The sequence below is a fragment of the Homo sapiens genome, chromosome 3, assembly GCF_000001405.40.
Source record: "Homo sapiens chromosome 3, GRCh38.p14 Primary Assembly".
Lineage (NCBI taxonomy): Eukaryota > Metazoa > Chordata > Mammalia > Primates > Hominidae > Homo > Homo sapiens.
In genome coordinates, this window is record NC_000003.12 from 175,801,504 (window position 1) to 175,828,302 (window position 26,799).

Sequence of the window (26,799 nt, forward strand, 5' to 3'; positions counted from 1 at the left end):
TCCTTCTGCATAGGATGCTGTCCTGTCTTCATCTCTTTTAGCTTTTTTACTTTCCTAAACTTTTGTAACTGGCAGCTCCCCTCATCTTTCAAGATGCAATTTAAATATTCTCCATTTAGACCTTTTTTAGACCTTTCCCAGTAGCAATATATCATCTGTTATAACTAGACCTTACATCTCTACTATAACAATTAGAAAAATGTATTTAAGTTATTTACCTGTTTGCCTCCCTTATTAGACCACGAGATTTCAGCTAGTTTGGGTTCGAAATAAGACAATGATGCAATAATTCATAGCTTTCTAACAAAATGCATCTATTTGTATCTATGAATGTATAAAGGGGACTGTTTTAGACTTTCCCAAATCAAATTTCTCCTTCTCAGCAATTTGACTAAGTTACAGGGCACTATCTTATTATGCATTCCACACTTGTGAGAAGATGGTATTCTAGATGTCAAACATATATAAAAGAAGAGAGAACAGTGTAATGAATTATATTACCCAGTTTCAACAATTATTAACTAATGGTCAACTGTGTTGCCTCTATACTGTCTGTAGCTCCACTCTCTCATCTGCCCTCCAAATATCTGAAGCAAATTCCAGACATAATAACATTTCATTTGCAAATATTACAGTGTGTATTAATTTTCTAAAGTGATAAGAGCACTTTTAGAAAACATTGATGATACCATTATCACATCTAAAATATTTGCAATTACCTAATATCACCCAATAGTCAGTGTTCAGTTTTGCACTACTTCTCATATTTTAAACTGTTTAAATACAAGTCTAGTAAGGTCTATGCTTTGTGATTGATTTTTTTTTGGGGGGGGACAATTTTGCTCTGTTATGGATATTTTGTCAATATTTAGAAACATTTTTGGTTTTTACACTAAAGGAGGAGTGCTACTGATATCTAGTGTGTGGAGGCCAGGGATACAGAAAAACATCCTACAATACACAAGGCAGCCACCACAATAGAGAATTATCTAGCCAGAATAGTGAGAGGGCAACATTGAGAAACCCTGGTCTATAGGTTCCCCCTGCATTATATATTGTATTGCAATTGATTTGTTGAATAAACTGGGTCATTTGTCTTATAAAGTTTTCCACATCTATATTTTGCTAATGACACATTGTGGTATAATTTATTTTTTTCTGTTTCTTGTATTTATAAGCAATTAAATCTAGAAACATCAGATTCAGATACAATTTTCTTTTTCTATCAAAACTGCTTTTTTTTGTTTCGTAGTGTTGTGTACTTCCATCAGGAGGCATATAATTTCTGATCATTTCTCTCTTTCTCATCAATATGGGAAACTATTGGTGATCAATGTCTAAATTTGTTAATTCATTAGGAGTTGAAAAATCGTGATATTATATTTTTATAATTTATTCATTTATTGAAAACATCACTGACTCTTAGAAATATTCATTCCAACGTTTGATAGAAAAATAGCATTGTGCATGAAACATTTATACATTTTGTATTTCTTTTCAGAAACATCCTCTACCACCTTGATGAAAAGACAAGCCGGTTTTCAATACTTATAGAGGCTTGGGAACACTGCAAACCCCTTGCATCAAATGAGACCCTTCAAGAAGCCCTGTCAGAGGTGTTGAACAGCATTAATTCAGCTCAGGTTTACTTCAAAGCAGGACTTGATGTGTTCAAGAGTGTCTTGGATGGGAAGAATTGAGAAAACTCTGAGCATTTTTAAAAGTTTGTTTACAATTCCACAAGCAAAAGCTCTAATTTAACCAGATTTTCTGACATTGAAGGCTTATTTTCCCCAATGGCTTTTTGACAAGTATAAAGCTATTATTACATTGTATTTTTTAAATGTAAATATAGAAAGAACATTTTGCACATTTAATATTTTTCTTATATCTACATTTCTGAATATGTAAAGCAAGTTATTGAAATAGGACTTAAGAATTACCTATTAAAAAGAAATCTGATATATAAAAATATGTACTATTTTAAGGAAAAATTTCCAAGAAGTTCTGGACTATCTTTGTTCCTATGGGGAGGGCATATAGGAACACAGTTTATTCTCTCTGATAGAGCTATTAATGACTTAGTTTCTGTAAAAGAAATGGAGAGTTGATATGGTTCAGATTAACTTCACTATTAAGTGTTCAATATGAAGAATTCAAGTATTCTGACTGAGTGATTGGTTGACCTAAACCACTTTGAATGTTTCTATTTTATGAAATGAAGTTTCTCTTCTTAACACAACTAGATGTAGTAATACACTGGTTATGAAATTGTATTTTTTTAAGTATTAATGAAAAAAGAGCCATAAGCATTCCAGGAGAAAATCTCAAGGGAGCTACATAGAGCAATTTAAATGCAAATTTTTTTCCTAACAACTTACAAGGTGACTAGCTTTGAAACCCCTAATTTGCCTCAGTTGATTTTCTAAGAATTTCAGGAGTGATGTATGTCTTAAGAGGGAGAAAAAAATATTTCTTATTACTTTTTCTCTTGTTTCTGTTGGAAACACTGAAGCAGGGACTCTAAAATGAAAGCATCTCACATTGGTTTTCTTTCTTGTATCTTTTCTGAAACTCCTTGCTGTAAGGCAGCTTTCTCAGAGTACTATATATTTTCAACAGTAAAGTAGCAGAGTTTCTCTTTGAAACCCAAAATGTCTTCTAAAGAATCAAATTTCTATTTCTGCCTCTGACAAAAAGAACTTACTATGAAAGAAATAGTTGTTTTATCAATAAAAGCCCCTTAATATTATGAAGAAACTTTTCATATTTTTTCTTCTTTATCCTTAATTGTGACTAAGATGGAAATCTAGAAAATATTCATGCTTCTAAGTTTCTGCAGTGTTACTGTAAGAGAGTGTCTCGTCTACACTTCAGTTCTTCTCTCATGTGGAAAACTAAGCTTTTTATATTGACATTGCCATTGAATAGCTCTAGCAACTATTATTATTCCCCCAAACCCTAAAATTCTACCTATTAGGTGTCAGGTTAAAGTTCTAATTTATCTTTAGAAATTTATGTGAAAAATGGTTTTCCTATACTGGATAAAGCAATTCCCCTTAGGAAACATAGCCTCAGAGTATTTCATATAAATTTTCTCTATCTAATTCAAACATATCTCCCCATGATACACCGCCAGAGTGACATTGCAGACAGTCTGTGTATGTTTAAATTTTCACTTTTTATGGATGAGCATAAACCTAGTCTTAGTTTAAAGGCAAACTAAAGTTGAGGGGAAATAATTAATCAATACTGATTAATTGATTTATAAGGTTCAACACTGTCTACCCTAAATAATTTTTATATGCTCAAGGCAAAGCAGGGAATAGAGGCAATTAGCTAGATAATTCAAGCAGAAATCCATTTTCATCGAAATTGCCTGTGTGCACATATTTTTAGATGAAAAATGAAACTACCTTACAATATTATTTTTTTAACCAATGTATTTGTTTGCAAACATTTGCCATGTTGAAGAGTGTGTATAGGAAAGGTCTAGAAATAAATAGGCTTGTGCATACCTAGGCATTCATGCTCTTTCTTCCTCTTCAGAGATCATCAGAAAAGAGGTGGGAATACACAAGCAGGTGCATGTAAGCCCAAAAGCTAGAAAGCCTTATATTTAACCAAAGGTTGATGTGTTCATTCCAGTTATTCACTTACAGATGAAACTAAAACAAATAAAGGCAAGCTATTATCAGTTTGGTAGTTCATTATTTTAGAACAAATTTCTAAATTAATTTATTCCCATAACCTACAATAGCACTGAGAACAGAAAACATGTTTCTTCTTCATTTTGTTTAAAGATTGCGTACCTAGGTAAGTCACACTGTATAGATAAAAACCTTCTTCTGTATTCCTCACCTCTAAATTATATGTTATTTGCTATTTGAAAACTGTAGTTAACTATGGTTTTTTATTAGTCTATTAAAAGATACGTGGAGATATTAAATTATACCTAAAGCAGACGTCCAACAAATTCTGTACATGCTGCTTTACATCTTTGCAACAAACCTCTTAACTAGCAGCATTATTTCTATAGTGTGATTACCTGAGGGTGCCTCCAAATGTATATCATTTCACTCCCCTCCCCTCCCCACCCCCAATAGATTCAAATAAATAAAATCCTGAGCAAATTAATAGCAAGTGTTAATGTGAATTGGTAGTAGGTTTAAGCTGTTGCTGAGTCGTCTATATGCCTGGTACTTCTCACAATCTTTCATACATAGAATTGTGCCTAGGAAATAATGAATCATAAATATTCTCTGAAGAAAATGTGGTAAAGGTGTAACGGTGAAATTTATGTTCAGGCAGGGTACACATGAGATACTGCCCTTTATGGAAAAGCATAAGTCTCAGAATCAAAAGAAAGCCTAATAAAGATTCTGGTCTAAGCCCTGAGATCTTGCCTTCAGCCAGAGAAGGCATTATCAATTACCCCCACCAGATATAGTAACTAAACCCAAAGTGAGTAAGAAACTTGGACATAGTCATGTATTTAGTTAGTAACAAAAGCACCACTGGAATTTAAGCTTCTCTGCTTTCTCATGCAGTATATCTTGCTTCTCCCTGAGGAGACAGGGTTATAAATGATCTTTTCCAGTGCATTCGATGTAACCAGCCATTCTGTCAGATGTTGCATGGGCTGGAAACACTGCTTTTAATTCAAGGCTAGTTCATTCTCTGACTGTACCTGACAAACAAAACTCTCCCCGAGAATTCAGGCAAAGGACACAAAGACTGGGTACTTGAGAGAAAGTGGGGAGAATCCTTACAGAACACCAGAAGTCAGGAAGAAGGACATTGAGCAAAATATATCTGTAAGAGGGCAAGTCAGGCCAGTGTTAAGTCAACAATCTAAATCACCGTTTCTCAAAATGTGAAATTTAGAAAGACAGGGCTAGGAATCTACATCTTCAGCAAGATTTCTGGATGTCTGTTACACACACTGAAGTTTAAGAATTTCCAATCTACGTTAATCGTAGTTTCCAAGAAAACACTAATTGACATTTCTAAATAAATTGAAGAGTCATAATAACAAGAAAGACGTAAAGATTTGTTATTAATGGAATCATTATGAGAAAAGAAAAGTGGACCCATTTTATCTCTAAGAAAACAATTCAGTTGCAGCTTATATTTGTGCCTGCTACATCCCAGGCACTGGTGTTTTAGAATTTTTCCCATGTATCCTTTTTTTTTTTTTTTTTTTTTTTTAATTCCCACAACAACCCATTTCAAAATGAGAAAACTAGGTTGAGTGACTTGTCCACAGTTCCAAAGCTAATAAAAATGATGAGGCATATTTCTCTTCTGGGCCCACTGTATTCAGTTCTTTGTTCTTTACACTGAGTGCCGAAAAAAAAAATCAGACTATTTTGATTCTAGAAAGTGAGATAATTGAAAATGTTAACATATTTCTCCAAAACTGATCAGACTGTGGAGTCTGTCACTTTTTTGGTATAATAAAGGAGTTTGAAGAAACAAATGACATCATTCCTGATGATGGTAGCCCACTCCAACAAAGGCGTATATATGTAGGCAAGTTTGAAGATATCTATAAGAGCATTAAAAGGCAAGTGCACCATTGTGGAATATCATGACGAGTAGGCTTACAAACAGTAAAAAGAGACCAGAAACCACAAGTCTTACACTTTCATTCTCTAAATGCTTATATAATTTCACTAAAAAAAGAAAAGCAGGTGCTGTGATTTAGAACAACAGTTTTATGTTATTTTTAAAAATTCAGAATAACCAATTGACTTTTTAAATTAAATAAACGTAGAGCATATAGTAAGTTTCCCCACAGGAAAGACAGATGTTAACAAAAATAAAATAAATGATTATTTGTGACCATGTTACTAATGATGAATCAGCATCTTTGCCTCAAATGAAAATCTATAATTATTTGTATGATAAATTGGTAGACCTAGCCAAAAATGTTCTCATGAGACATTCTGTGATATGTGTAATTGATTACTCCAAAAATTAAGCTTTCTCTGAGGGTAACACATTGTCATCTCATTGGTTTAATGGGCTATTTAAATGTGCCTTAGCCACACATTTGCTTAATAGAAAGGAATTATTTTAAACTACCAATCCATATGTTGAGTGGAAAGGAAGTTGGCCCACATATTCCAATAAATATATCAGCAATATAACAGTTTCATCATGGGACCATGGATACAGTGCAGGGAAAAAACAAACAAACAATATTTGAGAAAATATATATATTCTGCCCAGCCACACTGGTGAGTTTTTATTTCTTGTATGAGTTTAAATTGCCAACTTAAAAAAGCCTCATTAGAATTTGCTATTCGAAAAGACCTTAAAAACCCTCACAGAGTTCTAAACATCCCATTCATTGAAAATAATTTTCAGTTAAGTAGATTTGTTTTGTGCACTTCACAACTTTTAGGTGACATGAATTTGAAGCGTAGCAAAAGAAATGTATAAAGATAGCCTTTTCTGGTCATTACCATGTCTACTCAAGTTTCTGTTTTCTAGGTACACTCTAGCATTGTAACTTTTTCCCCCTGAGAAGTAATTTTAAGATCTATCAGTCTCAATTTAAATGATCTGTTAATCAGCCAGAGTTTTAGTTTCATAATATCGTTCCATTGCCTGACAAAGATATACACACTGAAGTGCCTTTAGCAGACCTGGGACCGTCAAGAATCTTGTTACCCTGATTATTGCAAGATGACATATTTCTTAAGCCATTTATAATCTCATATTCGGGTTGAATCTGAATTTACAAATAAAAGGGTTAAATTGAGGCAGTTTCAAGCAGCATTTAGGAAAATGAAGTGGCTTCAAATTTTAGTGTTTCTGGTTACATTATTTTGTTTGAATTATACAATTACATAATTTTCTGTAACCAAAATGGTAATTTTGATGGATTTTTTAAATGCCAAAATCCAATCATCAAGGCCAAAGAAATGCATGATTACTCTGATTTCTTATGCACCATTCAGTCAAGACTTAACTCAGAGGCAGTTGATTCAGTGCTTACATCTAGACAAAGCTTTAATGAGTGCAGACCCAGCCTAACAGTATTTCATCTAATTTCTTTGATGGCTTAAGCCAATAAGCACTGAGGTAGCTTTTCTCAGAAGGAAACAGATTTTATTTTCCAGGGGCTAATTAATATGCACCACCTAAGTCCCCAAAGGATCACACAGGTGCCTGTATCATGCCATATGTCATGTGCTATATTCCTGCAAGCTCAAGAGATTAATATACAATCATTATTATGAATTATTATGTTGCATTGAAGTTAATGTCGGTCTTTTGTTCTAATTAAAGTACAAACGTGGCATCTGAATAGAAGCTTAGCTAGAGAAGTGGAGTTAGAGTCCCTATTTTAATGAACTACATATATTTTTCAATCAAAATGTGTAATTATTTAATTATCTAGCCTGCTCAGTAATCATAACTCTCCAACTTCTTCAAAGGGCCTTTATTCAATATGTTACCACTCATATGGTCATTACTTGGTAAGTGTTTTATATTTTGAATTTCTTAGATGCTTTCAGTGTATGTGCTAGTGTTTTATTAATATTAAAAATTTTTGTTTACTTATATATCAAGCTGCTGCAAATGGACTACCTTATTTTAAAAGTTAGAATAAAATGCTATTACTCTCTAAACAGAACTTTAGCATATCTGTTTGATAAGAAATACACAAACAAAATATTTTTCTATGCTATTGCAAATTGTCCGCAGGAAGCAAAATGCCAGATGGTTAAGTGTAGCTCACATAATTATATTCCAAAGGTGTTATAAACAATTCTATTTAGCATCTGAGATAGGTCTATATTAGGCAATTTCATGTTTACATTTCTAACAGAAAGGTTTAATGGCAAATATTCCTTATATTCTAACTTGCTACTTGGAGAATATGGATATTCTGAAAAGAAAAACCCTTTCTAGAACACTGTGCAGGACTAATTTTTTTTTAATAGACATCCAGAAAATAGCCTGGGCAACAAAGTGAGACCCTGTCTCTCTTAAAAAAAAAAAAAAAAAAAAAAAAAAAAGAAAAGAAAAAGTAGCTAGGCATGTTGGTGTGCACCTTTGTAGTCCAGCTACTAGGGAGGCTGAGGCGGAAGAATCATTTGGGCCCAAAAGTTTGAAGCTGCAGTGAGCTAAAATCATGCCACTGTAGTCCAGCCTGTGTAACAGAACCTATCTCAAAAAAAGGAAAAGAAAGTCACATGCTGTTGATAGTAGTTTTATATGTATTTGGAATGTTAATATGGGACACATGCATTTAATACTTTAATCATGTATTCAATGTAGCAGCATTTAGATATGTAAGATTTTAGAAGTAAAATCTCAGTGGTATAACATTTAAAACACAGCCTTAAAATGAAGAATAGGGATGAGCAGGAGAAAATTTATAAATTAACCCAGGGTAAAATTTGGAGGAAAATTTTTCCAAATAAATTTGCTTTGATTAAAAACACATATCTCTCAAGAGGTGTCCCAATTACTAAATTATGTTGAACTGTTGTGGTGTTTAGCCTTGTTCAAAATGATTTGATTATCATCTGGATTCAGAAATCTTTTCATTGTACAGAGATTTCATTGTCATTGTCGTTGTTGTTAACTGATTTTTAATGATATTGATTTAGAGGCATTTGTCGGTAGTTTTTAAATTACTATATAGGGTTGAATGTCTAATTTCTATAATGTGTGGATGCCCATCAGATATTTAGTGCATTCTATATTTAGCCCAAGTGTGATCACAATTTATTTTATAACTTTTTATGTGTTACTTACATGACTCAATATGCATCTTACTTAAGAAATTATGTTGTGATCTGGAGTGACACAAATGGATTGAGATACCACATCCATTAAAAATATAAGTGAATATTTTATATTTAAGTTGTTTAAATATTTGCACATTATTGAAAACATAGTACTAGGAAATGAAGGCACCATTTAACAAACGTGTTCTGAATCATAATTTTCATGAGTTTGTACGTGAAATGTTAATGTTTAAAACACCCATTTTGAAATTATTAAATACAGGTAAAAACATTGCTATACTGTGTTTTTATGACAAAATATACAGTATTTTATGTGTGCACATGAATTAGTTATTACTCTATTTTATTAATGAATTATTTTTACATAATATATATGACAGCCAAACAGGTGTTCACTTGTTTAGGGAAAATTCTATAATATTTTATCATCTTTTTTTGTCCTTGCCTTCCATTCTTTTCTTGAACATTTAGTTAGATTTGCAGTTTGTGACAAGTTCCATCAAGTAACAGTACCTGTATCAACTGCAATGTTAAACAGTTTTGTTTTCTCAAATTTGCTCTAAAAAATGCTCTCAGTTATTTTTCACATAGAAAAGAATTTTCTGTTTGCATGGTGAGTGTAATAGATTTCATTCATTTATTCATTCAGGAAATATTTGCTAAAAGACTCTTCTAGTCCAGGCACTGTATTAGGCACTAGTGATACAAAGATGATTAGCACAGATTAGCACAATTTTACTTTTGGAGCTTTACAGTCAAATAGGATACAACACTTCAGTTTAACTAGTAGCAATATCCATAGATAGTACAGTTTATTGCAAACATATTGGCAGAGCAGAGACGGTTTAAAGGTGCCATATGTTCAGGCCACATGCCAGTCCCACTGGACCTTCCTTAAGACTCTCTAAAGAACAGTGCTCTTTCTCTAACATCTCTGCTATACAATAGCCTGCATTTGGTACGGGCATAGCACTGTGTCAGACTCTGGTTGCCAAGCATCACTTGGATGAAATCTTTTAATCTTTAAAAAAGCCTATGAGATAGGTGTTATATCATTTTGTCCCATTTGATTGATGATAAAACTAATGGTTAGGGCAATTAACAACTTGTGACAGTTATTATACTACTATATACACACAACTACATAGCTATAAAAAACTTTTAAAAATCTGCAGGAATATATATATATATATATATATATATATATATATATATATATATAGTGTGTATATAGACACACACAGAGGAGGTAATATTAAAACAACATATAAAGTTATGTATTACTCATGGATGTGTATATATATATTCAAAATATTAAAATCCAGACTGAAAAAAATGAACACCTTGTTTAATTCATGATAGTAGGAAGGAAACAAGTGCTAAGGACAGGATACAGAGGACAGCTTTAACTGTAATGCTTTATTTCTTTTATACATAAAAAGGAATTGAAGTAAATACGATAAAACAGTAGTTGGTAGATTAAATTATTATTCTTATTTCTTTTCACCCTCCCTTGTCAATTTGGGTGGTAGGCACATGTGTGTTTATGTAATTCTTATTATATTTGTGAATTAAAAATACAACTCTCAAAGTAACATAAAATCCTTATAAAGTGGTCTGATTCTGGAGCCCACACTTACAGCCACTAATCTAATCTGCCTTTTAAAATTTTATAAGCATGGTCGCTTTCTTGTCTTTTTCTTCAACTATGCTAATCTTAGGAAGGCTGCTTCCATAAGGCATTTTCTGACATTCTAAATGCTCATAGATGTAATTTCAATGCAGTTACATTTATTATCTACTTTTTTCTCTTCAATTCTTCTCTATCTCAGTAAATACACCAGATTCTTAAATCAAGAAATAAAAATCATCTGTGATTCTTTTCTTTACCTCTCTTCTTACATCCAATCCATCGCCATATTGGCTTGCCACAAAATACAGCTCAACTCTGTACATTTCTCCATCGGCACTGCTGCCATCCTACTCAATGCCACCATCTTTTCTTCCCTGCATTACACTAGTCATTATATCTATTTCAAGCAAAAGGGATTTTAAAACAGGAAATTGATTAGGAAATTATTAAATGTCCAGACTAATGAAAACGTAAAAGTGCTGTTTTTCAGAGACAGTAACTGCAGGAAAACACTACTGACCTTAGGGCTGGAGAAGCATAAAGGAAGAAATCTATGATAACCCAGGAGCTAACATTCTACTGACACTCCTGGAAACTGTTGGTGATGCTGGTGTAACCACTGCATGCAAGACTTAAAGAACCGCCACAGTGTAGATCAGAAGCTTGGGAGTCTCCGCTCCCTCAGACTCCCATACCAGAAGCAGGAAAAACAAAATGAAACAGCTTCCACATGTTTTTGCCTTTTAATCCTTGTAAGTGCCTCTCATTGGCAGATCCAACTGGGATCCAGCTGGCACAAGGGTCTGTGGAACGTGCATACGTGTTCCCAGCTCTAACATTATGAGAGAGGAGGTAGGAGGTGGGTATGGGAGTGTGTCCATACAGACCATGGCTGACACAGTCTTGAAAATGATTTTTCTATGAAAGCATAAATGAGTAAACATACCTAACTCTTACATCTGCATGTATCAAAATACATTGAGATTTTTCTCTGAAACTATGTAGCTAATTTAACCATAATATATAATAAAATAACATGAAATGGCTTTAGTGTAACTGTTCCATGCTAATTTATAATCAACAGGGTGATTAGCTTGAGTCCAGAGCTAAGACAGCGAAAGCATGTAGACATATAGCATTACATTTTTAAAAGGAGGTCTATATAAGGTGATATCAGAACAGATAATAAAAATAATAAAATCTTGTAGAAGCCAAGAAAGGTTTCTCAAAGGAGAAAATATTTGAGTTGTGTCTGAAGAGTAAATAGAAATACTTCAGGAGGAAAAGGAGAATGATGGCATCCCAGAAAAAGGGAACTGATTATCCAAGTCACACAGGATAAAGGACAGGACATTCCCTTAGTTTTCTGCTTCAAAGTTTCTGTTTCTTTTTCTCAGCCTCAGCAAAGACTGGAATTTTTACATTATGGTTTTTGTGAAAAGAACAACTTCCAGACTGCTTATCTTTTAATTTAGACATCACGTGATATTATAAAATGTTTAACGTGACTAACTTGGAAATAAAATAAATTGAACAGATTTTTATCATAATACGGAAGTCATAGCATTCGTAGTTTCCCATCATTTTTGGTGTAAAATTCACATGCCTTAGGATGATTTCTAAGACCTTTCCTGGCTGACTCCCACTCTTCCCTTTCCTTCTCAGTGCTTACCTGTTTTCCAACCCACATTTTATACTACAGCCTAATTGAAGAGCCCACGTTTTTCTGTATGTGCCATGCTTTCTCAAGTTTCAGTACCTTTGTGACTGCTTTCACTCTTTCAATGGACCCACCCTCCATTATGTATATACCATGGGTATCTATTTTTTCTAAAATAAATCTTATTAATAAAGACATTTCAAACTTTCTGTGGAAAATTATTCAAACCTGCCTCATAGTACATTATATTGTCACATGCGGTTCTTATATTTCCTGGGATTTGATGAGTTAATTCTTTGTTGAGTCTCTAAGCCACCCTAAATTATGTCTGTAATTTTGTCTTTGATTAAGCTACATAGGCTTGGTTTCTCTTATTCCCAAAAGAAAAAAAAAAAAGAGAAGAAAAAGTTAAAAAAAAATCCCACCAGATTTCTGGAAAAAATAGATACAAGTCCAGATAAAAAATTATGCAAATTAACACTGTATTGCTAACTGGGGCGTCAGCCCCAAGTCCTTTTTTTATTTGAGCATGTTGGCTAGACATGGAAAAAAAATCTTCAGTTTACATTGTTTGGCCTGAATACCTTAGGAGACTGAAAGTACTGCTCTGCCTATTTAACATGAAAACCCAAAGTCATAGACAATTTGAGCCCTTCCTTGTTTGCTTCAAATCTGTGGTAATCACTTTCATCCTTTCTTCTTTATTCTCAGCAGATCATTTCATTTCTTCCTTCTCCAAACATAGAAACTTAACTGTATTTCCATGTAAAGTATCTTCCTTTCTTCCTAAAATGTTAGATAAGTCTTGCATATTCAATTCCATTTAAGAAAAGAGAACATCATGAACAACAAGAACAATAAAATCAATAGCCTATCTCAATTCTACTTCCACATATAGGTACTTACTTGCCTTTTTCCTCTCACTCATAATTAAACTTTTTTCAGACTTGCTAAATGTCATTATGCTTTTTCCTTCATCTCCTGCTAATGCTCCATTCCTGGATAATCGGGTTGGAATTCTCAATATTTTACTCAACAAAGATTTAGATAAGTGCAATATAACCTTTCTCAGCAAGGTTAACTATAACTTATTGTACAAATTAGGACACTTTCCTAAAGGTAAAAGTATGCATTATTAATAATTATTCTGGAAAATCAGAAGTTGGGAATATCATGGATCAGGACATATGATCACCTTTTTATCTCCAAGGCACTATGTGTAATGAATGTGTTTAAATTCTCATCTTGCATGACTCTAGTGATATTAAAGTCTTTTGACATTTCTACTTCCTTAAAATATTTACCCCATGGCTTTCAATAAGTAGCATTTATTAGCCTAGTTTTTCTCATTTAGGGTGGGTGCTGATGGAATTGTCATAGTGTTGAAAGGTAAAGGGTGAAACAGCTTACTATGACCTGTATGGCTCATTGACATTGGGAGAAGACACTACTCAAAGCTTCTCCACAGGGAGGGAAGAAGAGGAGTAGAGTTTGCCTCATAGGTCACAATCCATGGCATAATAATCAGACACCAGAAGGAATTGATTACAGGCTCCTAAAAATAAAAGAAATTTTTTAAAAAAGTAAAAGAAACCTATCTAATTAAAAATCTATCTAGTTAGAAATCTCCAAGCATAAAATTTACAGAAGACATGTCCAGAGGAAAACTCTGAGTGGATCCCAAAATCTCCATCTGGGAAGATTAGTGAAGGATTTTTTTCCTGTTTAATCGAGTCCATAAAGGTTGGGGAGATAGCCATTTCTTCAAATGTATAGATACCAATGCAACGAACAAGGAACAAGAAGAGTCAGGGAAATATGACCCAAAGGAATAACATAAATTTTGAGTAATAGACCCTAAAGAAATGGAGATCTATGAAATATATAACAAGGAATTCAAAATAATTGTTTTAAAGAAGCTCAGTGGATTATAAGAAAACACAGCTAGAGAAACAAAACCAGGAAAATGATACATGAACAAAATGAGAATATCAGAAAAGGAATAAAACATATTAAAAAAAGAACGAAATGGAAATTCTAGAAGTGAAGAATACAGTAACTGAAAAGAAAATTCATTAGAGGGGTTCAATAGCAGACCTAATGACAAAAACTGCTCATTTGGGCAGTGTGATAAAAGTCTGGGATGTTGGAGGCATACTATACCCTTCTTCCTTCCTCCCAGGATAGAAGCCACAGGTTCTGCACCTTCTTGCCCATCTAACAGATATGTGCTGGCTCCATCAAATCTTTTGCTCCTTTCCTTTGTTCTTAGCTGCCACCTAAATATCCAAACTATGCCAGTGACTTCTGTGCACTATGTGAGGTGAGACAGAAACCAGTCTTTTGGGCAGCATCCTGATAGGATGAGTGTGTTGAATATGCACTCCACACTCTCTTCCCCTTCACCACAAGGATAAAGTTAGGGGCCAAAGAAATCTCTCTCCACACTGCGCTATACCACCTTGGGGGAGGGCCTGACACAGTTAAAGTAAAATTGTCCTTCTTATATATTTGTATATGGATGTTCTCCATTTTGTGCTCTTCTGGGGTACTGCAACTTCTTAACTAGATTCTGGACTTGTTATAAAGGTGTTTTGGTCTGTATATCATTGTTAAATCATGTTGCTTTAGGGAAATGAAGACTGGGACTTTCTATTCCACCATGTAGCTGACATCACTCCCAAATTTGTTTAATATTTAAAAAGAATTAATCATTCAATATAGTTTATTATATTAACAGAACAGAAATGAAAAATGTTATACCTATATATCTCATGCCTTACACAAAAATTAACTTAATGGATCATAAACTCAAATATAAGAGCAGTAACTATAAAACATATAGAAGAAAACACATTTAGAAATATTTATAACCGTGGGTTAGGCAATGATTTTTTTGATAAGAAACAGAAAGCTCATCCCTGTAATCCCTGCACTTTGGGAGGCCGAGGCAGGTGGATCATTTGAGGTCAGGAGTTCAAGACCAGCCTGGCCAACATGGTGAAACTCCATCTCTACTAAAAAAAAAAAATACAAAAAAATTAGCCAGGTGGTAGTGGCGCGTGCCTCTAATCCCAACTACTCAGGAGGCTGAAGCAAGAGAATCGCTTGAGCCTGGGAGGCAGAGGTTGCAGTGAGCCGAGATGGTGCCACTGCACTCCAGCCTGGGCAAAAGAGTGAGAGACCCTGTCAAAAGAAAAGGAAAAAACAAACAAACAAACAAAAAAACCAGAAAGCACAAACTATAAAACTTAAAAAAAAAAAAAATCAATAAGTGAGACTTACTTATTTAAAACTTTGCTCTTCAAAATACGTTTTTAAGAAAAAGAAAAGGCAAGACAGAAATAGGTAGAAACTATTTACAAAGCATAACTAGTAAAGTTACTGTATTTAGAATAAATTAACAAGTCGTACTTTCAATAAGACCCCTCAAAAATATAAGTTAAAAACATTGGGCAAAAAATGTGAACAGATACTTCATTAAAGAAGTGTTATGAGGCTTGGTGTGGTGGCTCACGCCTGTAATCCTATATTTTGGGAGGCTGAGGTGGGCAGATCACAAGGCCAGGAGTTCTAGACCAGCCTGGCCAACATGGTGAAACCCAGTCTCTACTAAAAATATTTAAAAAATTGGCTGGGCATGTTGGCCTGTAATCCCAGCTACTTGGGAGAGTAAGGCAGGAGAATCACTTGAATCCTGGAGGCGGAGATTGCAGTGGGCTGAGATTGCACCACTGCACTCCAGCCTGGGTGACAGAGCAGACTCCATCTCAAAAAAAAAAACAGTTATGAATGGCAAAATATATCCAAGTAGGTCATATTGTGTTACCACTGCACAAAAAAATGACAATACCACATTATTGCAAGGTTATGGAGCAACCAAAACTCTCACACATTGTTGGTGGGAAGGTCAGATGGTATAGCCACTCTGGAAAAAAATGTGACAGTTTCTTATAAATTTAAACATACATACAATGTGACCCAACAATCCCACCCCAACCTTGTTACTAAAAATAAAAATTTATTCCTCAAGAAAGTGTGCACGTCATAATAATTTTTTTAATAAACTAGACACAGACCAAATGTCCCTAAATGGTTTAAATGATAGAACACATTGTAGGATATCCATACAATGAGTTTCAGGCTTATCTCAGAGATATTCCAGGTTTAATTTCAGACCACCACAATAAAGCAAATATTGCAATAAAATGAGTTACACAAGTGTTGGGTTTCCCAGTGCATATAAAAAGTTATGTTTACACTATGCTGTAGTCTATTAAGTGTGCAATAGCATTTTGTCTAAAAAATGTGCATACCTTAATTAATTATTATTATTATTTTTTGAGATGGAGTCTCGCTCTGTCACCCAGGCTGCAGTGCAGTGGCATGATCTCAGCTCATGGCAACCTCCACCTCCCAGGTTCAAGTGATTCTCCTGCCTCAGCCTCCTCACTAACCGGTACTACAGGTGCATGCCACCACGTTTGGCTAATTTTTTGTATTTTTAGTAGAGACGAGGTCTTGCCACGTTGGCCAGGCTGGTCTTGAACTCCTGACTTCAGGTGATCTACCTGCCTTGGCCTCCCAAAGTGCTGGGATTACAGGCATGAGCCACTGTGCCTGGCCAATTAATTTTTTTTACTAATAAAAGCTAATGATCACCTGAGCCTCCATGAAGTCATAATCTTTTTGTGGGTGAAGGGTCTTGTCTTGATGTTGATGGCTGCTGACTGATCACAGTGGTGGTTACTGAAGGTTGGGGTGGCTATGAAAATTTCTTAAAATAAGGAAACAATGAAGTTTTCCCATTGACCCTTCCTTTCATGGAAGATTTCTCTGCAGCATGCAATGCTGTTACATAGATAACATTTTACTCATAGTAGAACTTCTTTCAAAATTGGAGTCAATCTTCTCAAAACCTGCCACAGCTTTATGAACTAAGTTGCTGTAATATTCTAAATCTTTTGTTGACATTTCAATGACACAGCATCTTCACAAGAAGTAGATTGTATCTTAATATACCACATTTTTTGCTCATCCATAAAAAGCAATTCCTCATCTGTTTAAGTGTGATCATGATATTGCAACAATTCAGTCCCAACTTCAGGCTCCACTTCTAAATCTAGTTTTCTTTTTATTTCTACCACTTCTGTAGTTATTTCCTCCACTGAAGTCTTGAATCTCTCAAAGTCATTCATGAGGGTTCAAATCAACATATTCCAAACTCTTATTAATATTGATATTTTGACCTTCTCCAGTGAACCATGAATATTGTTAATGGCGTCTAGAAAAGTGAATTCTTTCCAGAAGGCTTTCAACAGACTTTTCTCAGAGCTATCAGAAAAGTATGTTGGAAACAAATTTTTGGTGACACAAAGAAGAATCAGCACTCCAGCAAAAAGCTTTCTCAGCAAGGCAAATTTACTTCTAGGGTGCGTCTCATGGATGGAACAATGGTGAGAGCACTCCAGACAAGGGAGGGGAAGGGGTTCTTATCCCTAACGAAGCTAGTTCCTACAGCTGTGTCTTTCCCCTTTTGGCTAGGGTTGGACCACACAGTCTAAGCTAATTCTGATTGGCTATTTCAAAGAAGGCAGGGGTACAAGCCAAAGTGCCAGGGTGAGTAGTTTTGGCAGGAAGTATGGTTACAGAGCAGGTGACTAAGGATGACTAAGAACAGGTGATAGAGGCTGGGGAAGTTGTTTACTGAAACTAGGGGCAAGGAGGCATAAAGAATGAGGAAGTTAAACTTTAAAATGGAGAACAAGGAACAGGGAAGCTGAACATACTGACATATTGGTTCTTTGAAGAGGAACTCAGAACTCATTGTACTTAACAATTTTCCCCCTCTTGAATTTTAAAGTAAATTAACAGACTAAAACCTTTGAAGAGGAATTTGCTGTATTCTACAATTAACTATCTATGGTGGCTATAGCCTCATGAGTAATAAAGCCTTAAATAATATGACTTGAGAGTAGAAATTACTCCTTCATCTATGAGCTGCAGAATGGATGTTGTGTTAGCAGGCATGAAAACTTTAATCTCCTTCTACATTTCCATCAGAGCACTTGGGTGGCCAGTTGCATTATCAATGAGAAATAATACTTTGACTTTTTTTTTTTTTTCCTGAGCAGTATATCTCAATGGTTTGAATTTTTTTTTTTTTTTTTCTGAGCAGTAGATCTCAACAGTGGGCTTAAAAGATTCAGTAAACTATTCTATAAGCAGATGTGCTGCCATCTAGGCTTAGCTTTTCCATTTATAGAGCACAAGCAGAGTAGATCTGGCATAATTCTGAAGGGCCCTAGAATTCGATGAATGGTAAATGAGCATTGGTTTCGACTTCAAGTCACCAGTGCTTTAGTCCCTAAAAGGAGAGTTTGCCTCTCCTTTGGAACTTAGAAGCCAGGAATTAACTTCTCTCTAGCTGTGAACGTCCTAAATGACAACTTTTTGTAATAGAAGCCTATTTTGTTTACTTTGAAAATCTGTTGTTTAGTGCAGTCACCTTTGTCCGTGATCTTAGCTAGATTTTCTGCATAACTTGCTGAAGCTTCTACATCAGCACTTGCTGCTTCACCTTGCACTTGCATGTTATGAAGACGGCTTCTTTCCTTAACCCTCATGAACCAACCTCTGTGAGCTTAAGTCTTTTCTTCTGCAGCTTCATCACCTTTCTCAGCCTTCAGTGAATTAAACAGAGTTAGGGTCTTGCTCTGGATGAGGCTTTGGCTTAAGGAATGTGTGGCTTCTTTGCTCTTCTATCCCTACCAATAAAAGTTTCTCTATATCAGCAATAAGGCTGTTTTGCTTCTTTATTATTTATCTGTTCACTCGAGTAGCATATTGAATTTCCTTCAAGAGCTTTTCCTTTGCATTCACAACTCGGATGTTTGGCACAAGAGGAGTAGTTTTCTACCTATCTTGGGTTTTGACATGTCTTCCTCATGAAGCTTATTTCTAGTTTTTGATGTAATGTAAGAGATGTGCTACTCTTCCTTTCACTGGAACACTTAGAGGCCATTGTAGGGTTATTAGTTGGTCTAATTTCAAAACTGTTGTGTCTTAGGGACTAGCAAGGCCCAAAAGGAGGGGGACAGATTGGGAAATGGCTGGTCAGTGGAACAGCCTGAATACGCACAACATTTAACATTGTCTCATATGGACACAGGTGGTGGTACCCCAAAACAATTATAGTAGTAGCATTAAAGAGCACTGATCACAGATCACCATAACAGATGTAATAACAATTTAAAAGTTTGAAATATTGCAAGAATTACCAAAATGTTACAGAGATATGAAGTGAGCACATGCTGTTGGAAAAATAATATTGATATTCTTTTGTTGGTGCAAGGTTGCCATAAACCTTGAATTAGTTAAAATAGTGTGGTATTTGTGAAGTATAATAAAACAAAAAGCAAAAAAACAAGGCATGCCTGTCCTATCTAGGAATTAAAAGGAGCAAATTATTGATATATACATTAACAAGAACAAATGATAAAAGCATTATAGTAAGTGAAGTAAGCCATATTCAGAAATCTAATGTTGGGAGACAATTTACAACAGCATTTCCACACATTGTGACAGCTTTTACTGAAGATTCTCTTCCTAAGGTTTTTTATTATTCAAAGTCCTCAGAAGGAAGAGATAGTGGCTCCCTTCCTGCCAGAAAACAGATCTGTTTACTGACCTGTATAAGAAAGATATTTTCTCCCACTTGGGTCAAAGGTTGTGCAGTTTTACCAGTAGTCCAGTTAAAAGATTGGAGGTATGCTAAACTCTGGGTTTACATAGACCCACTGGTGTGCAGCACCCTGCTGGGTCTGCCTTCACACCACCAGCATGTTTGATGGGACAAAGTGAATGGATGAGAACATACACCTCATAATGCCGGCTGTGTTGTGTGTAATAAACTTTCAAATCCAACTGGGACACTCTCTTCTTATTGGTTAAATGTATGAGCCCGTGGCAAGTCAATCTAGCAGCTTCACCCACTGTGTTGATATTGCTTTGGAGCTGCTTGATAATTATATCATGTAAGATTGTATTTATGTGAAATTCTAGAAAAGTAAAGACTGTAGTGACAGAAGCCAATCAGAGTTTGCTAGCAGCTAGATATAGGGGTAAGGGTTTGATTGCAAAATGGGCAACGGGCAACTTTTGAAGTAATGTACACATTCTGTATCTTGACTGCGGGGGTGGCTACATAAGTATTTAGATTTGTCAAGTCTCATTAAATTATGCATTTAAAATTAGTGAATTTTATTATGTGTAGATTTATGTAATTTATGTAATTATGTAATTCGTACAATTTAATGCAGTTAATTAAAATATTTACAAAGAGTTTGAAAGAAAGAACAGAAAAGTGAGGGAAAATAAAAATAATAGAGGATATAATTTAGTATGAAGGATAGTCACTTTAAGGTCCCACTGATTTCCTAGCAAAGTGAAAAAAACAGTTGGTCATTGTAGACATGCTGAAAAAATTTTAAAGTACCAATTTAGATAATCCTAAAAGTTCAAGGAAGTAAAACAAACTAAAACACAATTTTTAAAAATCAAATTTCAACAAGTTTCCAACAAATGAAGGAGCACTTAGCATCAAACCTCTCATCAATGACTTCTCAGTTTTAAGGGAAAATAGTTTTATCCTATGATTCTATGTCTCATTAACTCTTAACGTATCCTATGCCACCCCATACATTTTGGCCTTACCTACATTTCTTTTTTTCTGTGTTCTAGTCTCACTGGCCTTCTATCATAATCTTGAACTCTCCCAGCACCTTCCTGGCACCATGCTTTATACATACTATTCCCAATGCAGCGGATGCTCTTGCTCTATTTGCTATTTAGTTAATTTTTCAGAATGCAGTTAAATTTTCACCTTTTCATGAAATTGTGCCAGGATATATCAAATACCTCTATTGTTTGTTCTCATAGCAACATGTACTTTTCTGTCAGAAATTACTTCAGTTACATTCTAATTTTACATTTTTTGTTGTGTAAGTGAGTCCCCTACTAGAATTTAGCTTTTGTGAATGAGTCATCAATTTCTTATTTTCTCACCATTTTCTCCCAAATGCCTCGTGTATCTTACACTAAGTAGGCATCCAATATTTATTTGTTCAGTGAATGAACAAAAGAAACAAAAACATGTAAGATAAACTTCTTAGAGCAGTCTGAGTTATTTTCCTGCCCCTATCTGGAAAAGGGAAATGTCAGGCCTCTGAGCCCAAGCTAAGCCATCATATCCCCTGTAACCTGAATGTATACATCCAGATGGCCTGAAGTAACTGAAGAATCACAAAAGAAGTGAAAATGGCCTGTTCCTGCCTTAACCGATGACATTCCCTTGTGAAATTCCTTCTCCTGGCTTATCCTGCCTCAAAAGCTCCCCCACTGAACACCTTGTGTCCCCCGCCCCTGCCTGCCAGAGAACAACCCCCTTTGACTGTAATTTTCCACTACCTACCCAAATCCTATAAAAAGGCCTCACCCCTATCTCCCTTCCCTGACTCTCTTTTCAGACTCAGCCTGCCTGTACCCAGGTGAAATAAACAGCCTTGTTGCTCACACAAAGCCTGTTTGGTGGTCTCTTCACACGGACACGCGTGAAAGGAAGAGAAAGGGAAGAACACACCTCTATGTGCTTGAACACTAAAGCCCGGAGAAAGCTCTATCTCACGTGGTCAGTAAAGTGCCAGTTAAACCAAACATTACAGTAGTTCTCCTCTTCATGGGAGAGGTGGAGGTGGTGAGAGGTGAAAGGCAAGAAAGAGGAGTGCCTGTGCTTCTTCCTGATCTTCACCAGTATCACTTTCATCCTTGGAGATGATTGCTTCTGCACCTTTTCCTTGGAAACCACTTCATTTTCTACTTTAAGAAACTTGAGGAAAGCTCTTGTCTGGAAATATACTGTTCTTATTCTATTTATTGCTATAAATTTTCACCTTCTTCTAACCTGTTTCTACCATTTTAATGGGGTCTTAAAATGGTAAAGAGAAAAATGTTATGTTTAATGTTCCATCTTGAAATGGAAGAGCGCCATGAATTCTAAATTTCAATCGTTATTTTGAATTTCTTTACAACGAAAATACCAGTTTCTACTGCAACTGACAGTGAATAAAAATGGTTTATTTTTCTTCATGCCTGACAATAAATAATAAATTATGAAAGACATTTTATACAGATACAAAAATGCACAAAAAGTATAAGATTAGAAGAATAATATTATAAATAAGGAATTCTACAGAAAAGACCTCCTGTGCATAATTGTGGGATAACAAAGTCTGAAACAACATTAGAACTTGAGGAAAATAGGAAGGAAATAGATATGAAGCTATGAACTCTTTTTAGTTTTTGCTAAGCAAAGCAATTATTTGCAGGAAAAATACCTAACTCTCTCTCTCCCTCCCTTATATATATCATATATATATATGTTATATATATGATATATATATCTCATATATGTATGAGAGAGATATATATATCTCTCTCATATATATACACATCTCTCATATATATATTTTATATATATATATATATATATACTGCCTCAATGTTTTTTAACATGAAATTATTTAGATTATCTAAGACAAGCTGGCTAGGAGTTGTTTTGATTAGAATCAAAGTAAACATAAAACATATTGGCTCTATTTGCTTAGTGGGCGCAATTAAATTTATGATGTATATAACACCATCAGCTTATTTTGAAAGTAAAGTTCTCACTACCTTAGGTTACCGAGGGCCTCCTCTGCTAGTGATCCTGAAAATTTTAGCTCTTGTCATATTGGTTATAATTTATATGGAAATGTAGAATGCTAGGTAGTAAGTTAGATAACAAACTGAATCCAAAAACACTGGAATAAAAGAGTAAAATGAATCAAAAATTCAACTGCCCAAGTAAAAGATATAATACCTATATTAGTATCCCTATATATACAAAATTTTGAATTAGTAGTGTTAGTTGATTTAATTTCTATAAAAGCAAATGTGATCTGACTGTCAAAATATGTTAATTTAATCTCATACTGTATTCATAGAAGTATAAAGCAGGGCAAAGGAGGTGATGGCCAACCTGTTTTTTACGATGGAGCAAATCAAATGTCTTATTCAGTACTGCACACCAATTTAAAAGAACACTGATAAACCAGACTTCCTCCAAAGGAACATGACCAGAATGTTGAAAAGTGAAGGAAACATATTTGTTTTCAGCTAATGGTAGAGATCTAAAAATACATTACAGCCTTTCAGATCTATTTTGTGCTCCCAAAAATGAAACAAAGAAATATGTAACAAAACAAGTAAAAGTAAAAATTACTTAGGCTAGCGGAGGATCCCTGAGTGGGCCAGAAACCACGCAAATTTCCAGAAACCCAGGAGTGCATAGAGAAGAGAAATGTCCTGGGCACATGACCCCCACTAAGGCTAACCAGAGATGGAGGAAAGCCAGGAGCAACTGAGGGTGAAAATTGTGACCCAACACAGACCATCCAAATGGGGCAACATCTGCATATGACCACCTTTTTTCCATGAAGGTCCAGCTGGGTTATCAGCCCCCAAGTTTAAGCAGTAGGTGAAGTGAGTTCTTTCAGAGAGAGAGAGATTTATCTAGAAGACTGGGCATACCAGGGACACATGGGGAGTACCTGTGATCAGAAAACACAGTAGTCTGTGTCACACACGTCCCTGTGAAGAGAGCACCAAACAGGCTTTGTGTGAGCAATAAAGCTTTTTAATCACCTGGATGCAGGCGGGCTGAGTCCGAAAAGAGAGTCAGCGCGGAAGATAGGGGTGGGGCAGTTTTATAGGATTTGGGTGGGCAGTGGAAAATTACAGTCAAAGGGGGTTTTTCTCTTGCAGGCAGGGACGGGGGTCACAAGGTGCTCAGTGGGGGAGCTTCTGAGCCAGGAGAAGGAATTTCACAAGGTTAATTGCTCAGTTAAGATGGGACAGGAACAAATCACAATGGTAGAATGCCATCAGTTAAGGCAGGAATCAGCCATTTTCACTTCTTTTGTGATTCTTCACTTGCTGCAGGCCATCTGGATGTATACATGCAGGTCACAGGGGATATGATGGCTTAGCTTGGGCTCAGAGGCCTGACAGTCTACACCTCTACACCTTGGCATTTTTTTCATTCTCACAAACTCACCTTCTTGCTCTCCCTTGCTACCGAAGTCTATACATATTAGAGGCAGCAGAGTCTAAGAGAGAATCTTAACTACCAACAGTAAGCACATTGGAGTGATATATTAAGTGCATTTTTAAATTTGAGAGATATATGAGGATAGTGTTGTCATAAAATTCAGATGTGTACTTCTCGTAGGAACACATTAGGAGCTTAGGTTTGAATATTCCCACATTTTTTTGTCTGGAAAAAAAAAAAGAAAAATATGCAGTATATCCAAATTGTGGTTTAGATCAATTTGAAGAAAACGTACAAGCTGCAAATTATATGTAAGTGACCAAAGTCAGAGGCTGACAGGAAGCCAACACAAGAAGTTGAAATGATACTGTGGAGAAAATGGGAGTGCCAAGGGGGGCCTAATTAATGAAATATGTCAGAAATCGCTGAAAAATATTCACACCCCAAAAGAGTAGGAAGGCCCATTCTAAGAGGTAAGTGCTGTGAGCTCAGCTGAGATGATACAGTTTAAGAAGAACAAGTAGGCTTAGAAATTGCTCAGTGGACCCAGAGGAGTCCCAGAAAACATTACAAAAAAAAAAAAAAAGGTGATCAGATCTGGATCATTTATTGATGGCAGCCTGTGAGAAAACTAGGAAAGAAAAGACCTGGAGGGATATGCTCTTCTAAACCAAGAGGTGCATTTGTGCCATTTATCAGAAGGAAATGGTCCACTGATATAGAAGAAGAACAGGGATCTCTTGAGCTGGAAGAAGGGAGGAATCAGTGTCTGAAAAACCATTCTAGTCTCTCTGTGCTTCTTTCCAGAAGCCATCTGTTAAGAGTTCAAGAAAGTCCAACTGATATATTTGTGAGAAAAAATAAATATGCATACAAAAATACTATAAGTAAACAAGATAAAAAAGAACAGTACAATTTTCCTATAGACTATGAAAGATTTTGTAGAAAACAACCCATGTGCTCTATCTGTGGATTAATCCATTGAACAATCTATCTTCTTTGCTCCAGGACAAATACCATGAGAAGAAAAAGGGAACAGAAGACAGGAGAGGAATCTGGGAAATACAACAAACCTCCTCCCTTTCTCATCCTTCTGCTCCAAGCCATTGGAGACAAAGGTTTCTGTACTGGAGAAAGAAGGAAGGCTTTGAATCAAATGTAAGATTGAAAATTGCTAAAGTTTAAACAAAGTGTTGACTGAAATGAGATTGTTTTAATAAAAGTGGAAAGGTGAAAGAAAAGATGACGTCACACAAAGATGTCCTCTAGGAAGCCTCTTGTTCCGCTGTTGATGGGGCTTTGACAGAGAATAGTGGAAAGAAGGAATTGGCAAAAATTAAAATTTTAATCAAACCAGTCACATGATTTGATTTTCAGACCATGAACATAGGTATTAACATCCCCATTTTACTGTTGAGAAGTCTTGAGCCCAGAAAAGTTAAGCTTGATCATATGTGAACTATGTAATATACAACTGAGAACTATGTAACATACAACTGAGATTCAAACAATCCTATTTTACTGTCCCTGCACCATGAAACATACTTAAAATGGACATGACCCATTCATGCCCTTTATCTACTAACATGAAATTTTACCATACATATCTTCACATTTCAAACTCCTCTCCATAGTTCAATGTTAATTTTAAATATTACCTTTTTATCTGAAAACTACGTTTACCTAGTCAAAACTATATCCACAGAATTAATTTCTTCTTCTACAATAATCTCACAGAATTTTATTAAGACTTCTGTTGTAGCCTATGTCAGGCCTCTGAGCCCAAGCCAAGCCATCGCATCCCCTGTGACTTGCATGTATATGCCCAGATGGCCTGAAGTAACTGAAGAATCACAGAAGAAGTGAAAATGCCCTGCCCCACCTTAACTGATGACATTCCACCACAAAAGAAGTGAAAATGGCTGGTCCTTGCCTTAAGTGATGACATTACCTTGTGAAAGTCCTTTTCCTGGCTCATCCTGGCTCAAAAAGCTCCCCCACTGAGCACCTTGCGACCCCCACTCCTGCCTGCCAGAGAACAAACCCCCTTTGACTATAATTTTCCTTTACCTACCCAAATCTTATAAAATGGCCCCACCCCTATCTCCCTTCACTGACTCTCTTTTTAGACTCAGCCCGCCTGCACCCAGGTGATTAAAAGCTTTTATTGCTCACACAAAGCCTGTTTGGTGGTCTCTTCACAGGGACGTGAGTGAAATTTGGTTCTGTGACTCAGATCGGGGAACCTCCCTTGGGAGATCAATCCCCTGTCCTCCTGCTCTTTGCTCCATGAGAAAGCTCCACCTACGACCTCAGGTCCTCAGACCAACCAGCCCAAGAAACATCTCACCAATTTCAAATCCAGTAAGCGGCCTCTTTTTACTCTCTTCTCCAACCTCCCTCACTATCCCTCAACCTCTTTCTCCTTTCAGTCTTGGCACCACACTTCAATCTCTCCCTTCTTTTAATTTCAATTCCTTTCATTTTCTGATAGAGACAAAGGAGACACATTTTATCCGTGGACCCAAAACTCTGGCGCCTGTCACAGACTGGGAAGGCAGCCTTCCCTTGGTGTTTAATCATT

At 35.6% G+C, this 26,799-nt stretch overlaps 1 protein-coding gene and 1 long non-coding RNA gene across 22 annotated transcripts in view, besides 1 other annotated feature; both read left to right on the forward strand.

The window, feature by feature from the left end:
• The window catches only part of NAALADL2 (N-acetylated alpha-linked acidic dipeptidase like 2), a 1,369,567-nt gene extending 1,360,522 nt beyond the window's left edge, over positions 1-9,045 (forward strand). For all 21 annotated transcript variants that reach the window (XM_017006077.3, XM_047447876.1, XM_017006075.3 and 18 more), the window contains one exon: positions 1,502-9,045. In XM_017006077.3, coding sequence (XP_016861566.1) covers positions 1,502-1,700 — 199 coding nt within the window. In that variant the 3' untranslated portion in view covers positions 1,701-9,045. The remainder of the gene's footprint in view (positions 1-1,501) is intronic.
• Positions 9,046-19,326: 10,281 nt separating this feature from the next.
• Positions 19,327-25,458, forward strand: LOC124909459 (uncharacterized). The gene is made up of 2 exons (XR_007096174.1): positions 19,327-21,755; positions 25,224-25,458. It is a non-coding gene; the product is annotated as an uncharacterized LOC124909459 (long non-coding RNA).
• Positions 21,091-21,641: an enhancer, noted in NCBI's record as "NANOG-H3K27ac hESC enhancer chr3:175540382-175540932 (GRCh37/hg19 assembly coordinates)". NCBI's record gives its function as "activates a minimal SCP1, AML or CMV promoter by ChIP-STARR-seq in naive H9 embryonic stem cells {active_cell/tissue: H9 hESC(naive)}" and the evidence as "EXISTENCE:reporter gene assay evidence [ECO:0000049][PMID:30033119]".
• Positions 25,459-26,799: the final 1,341 nt, after the last annotated feature.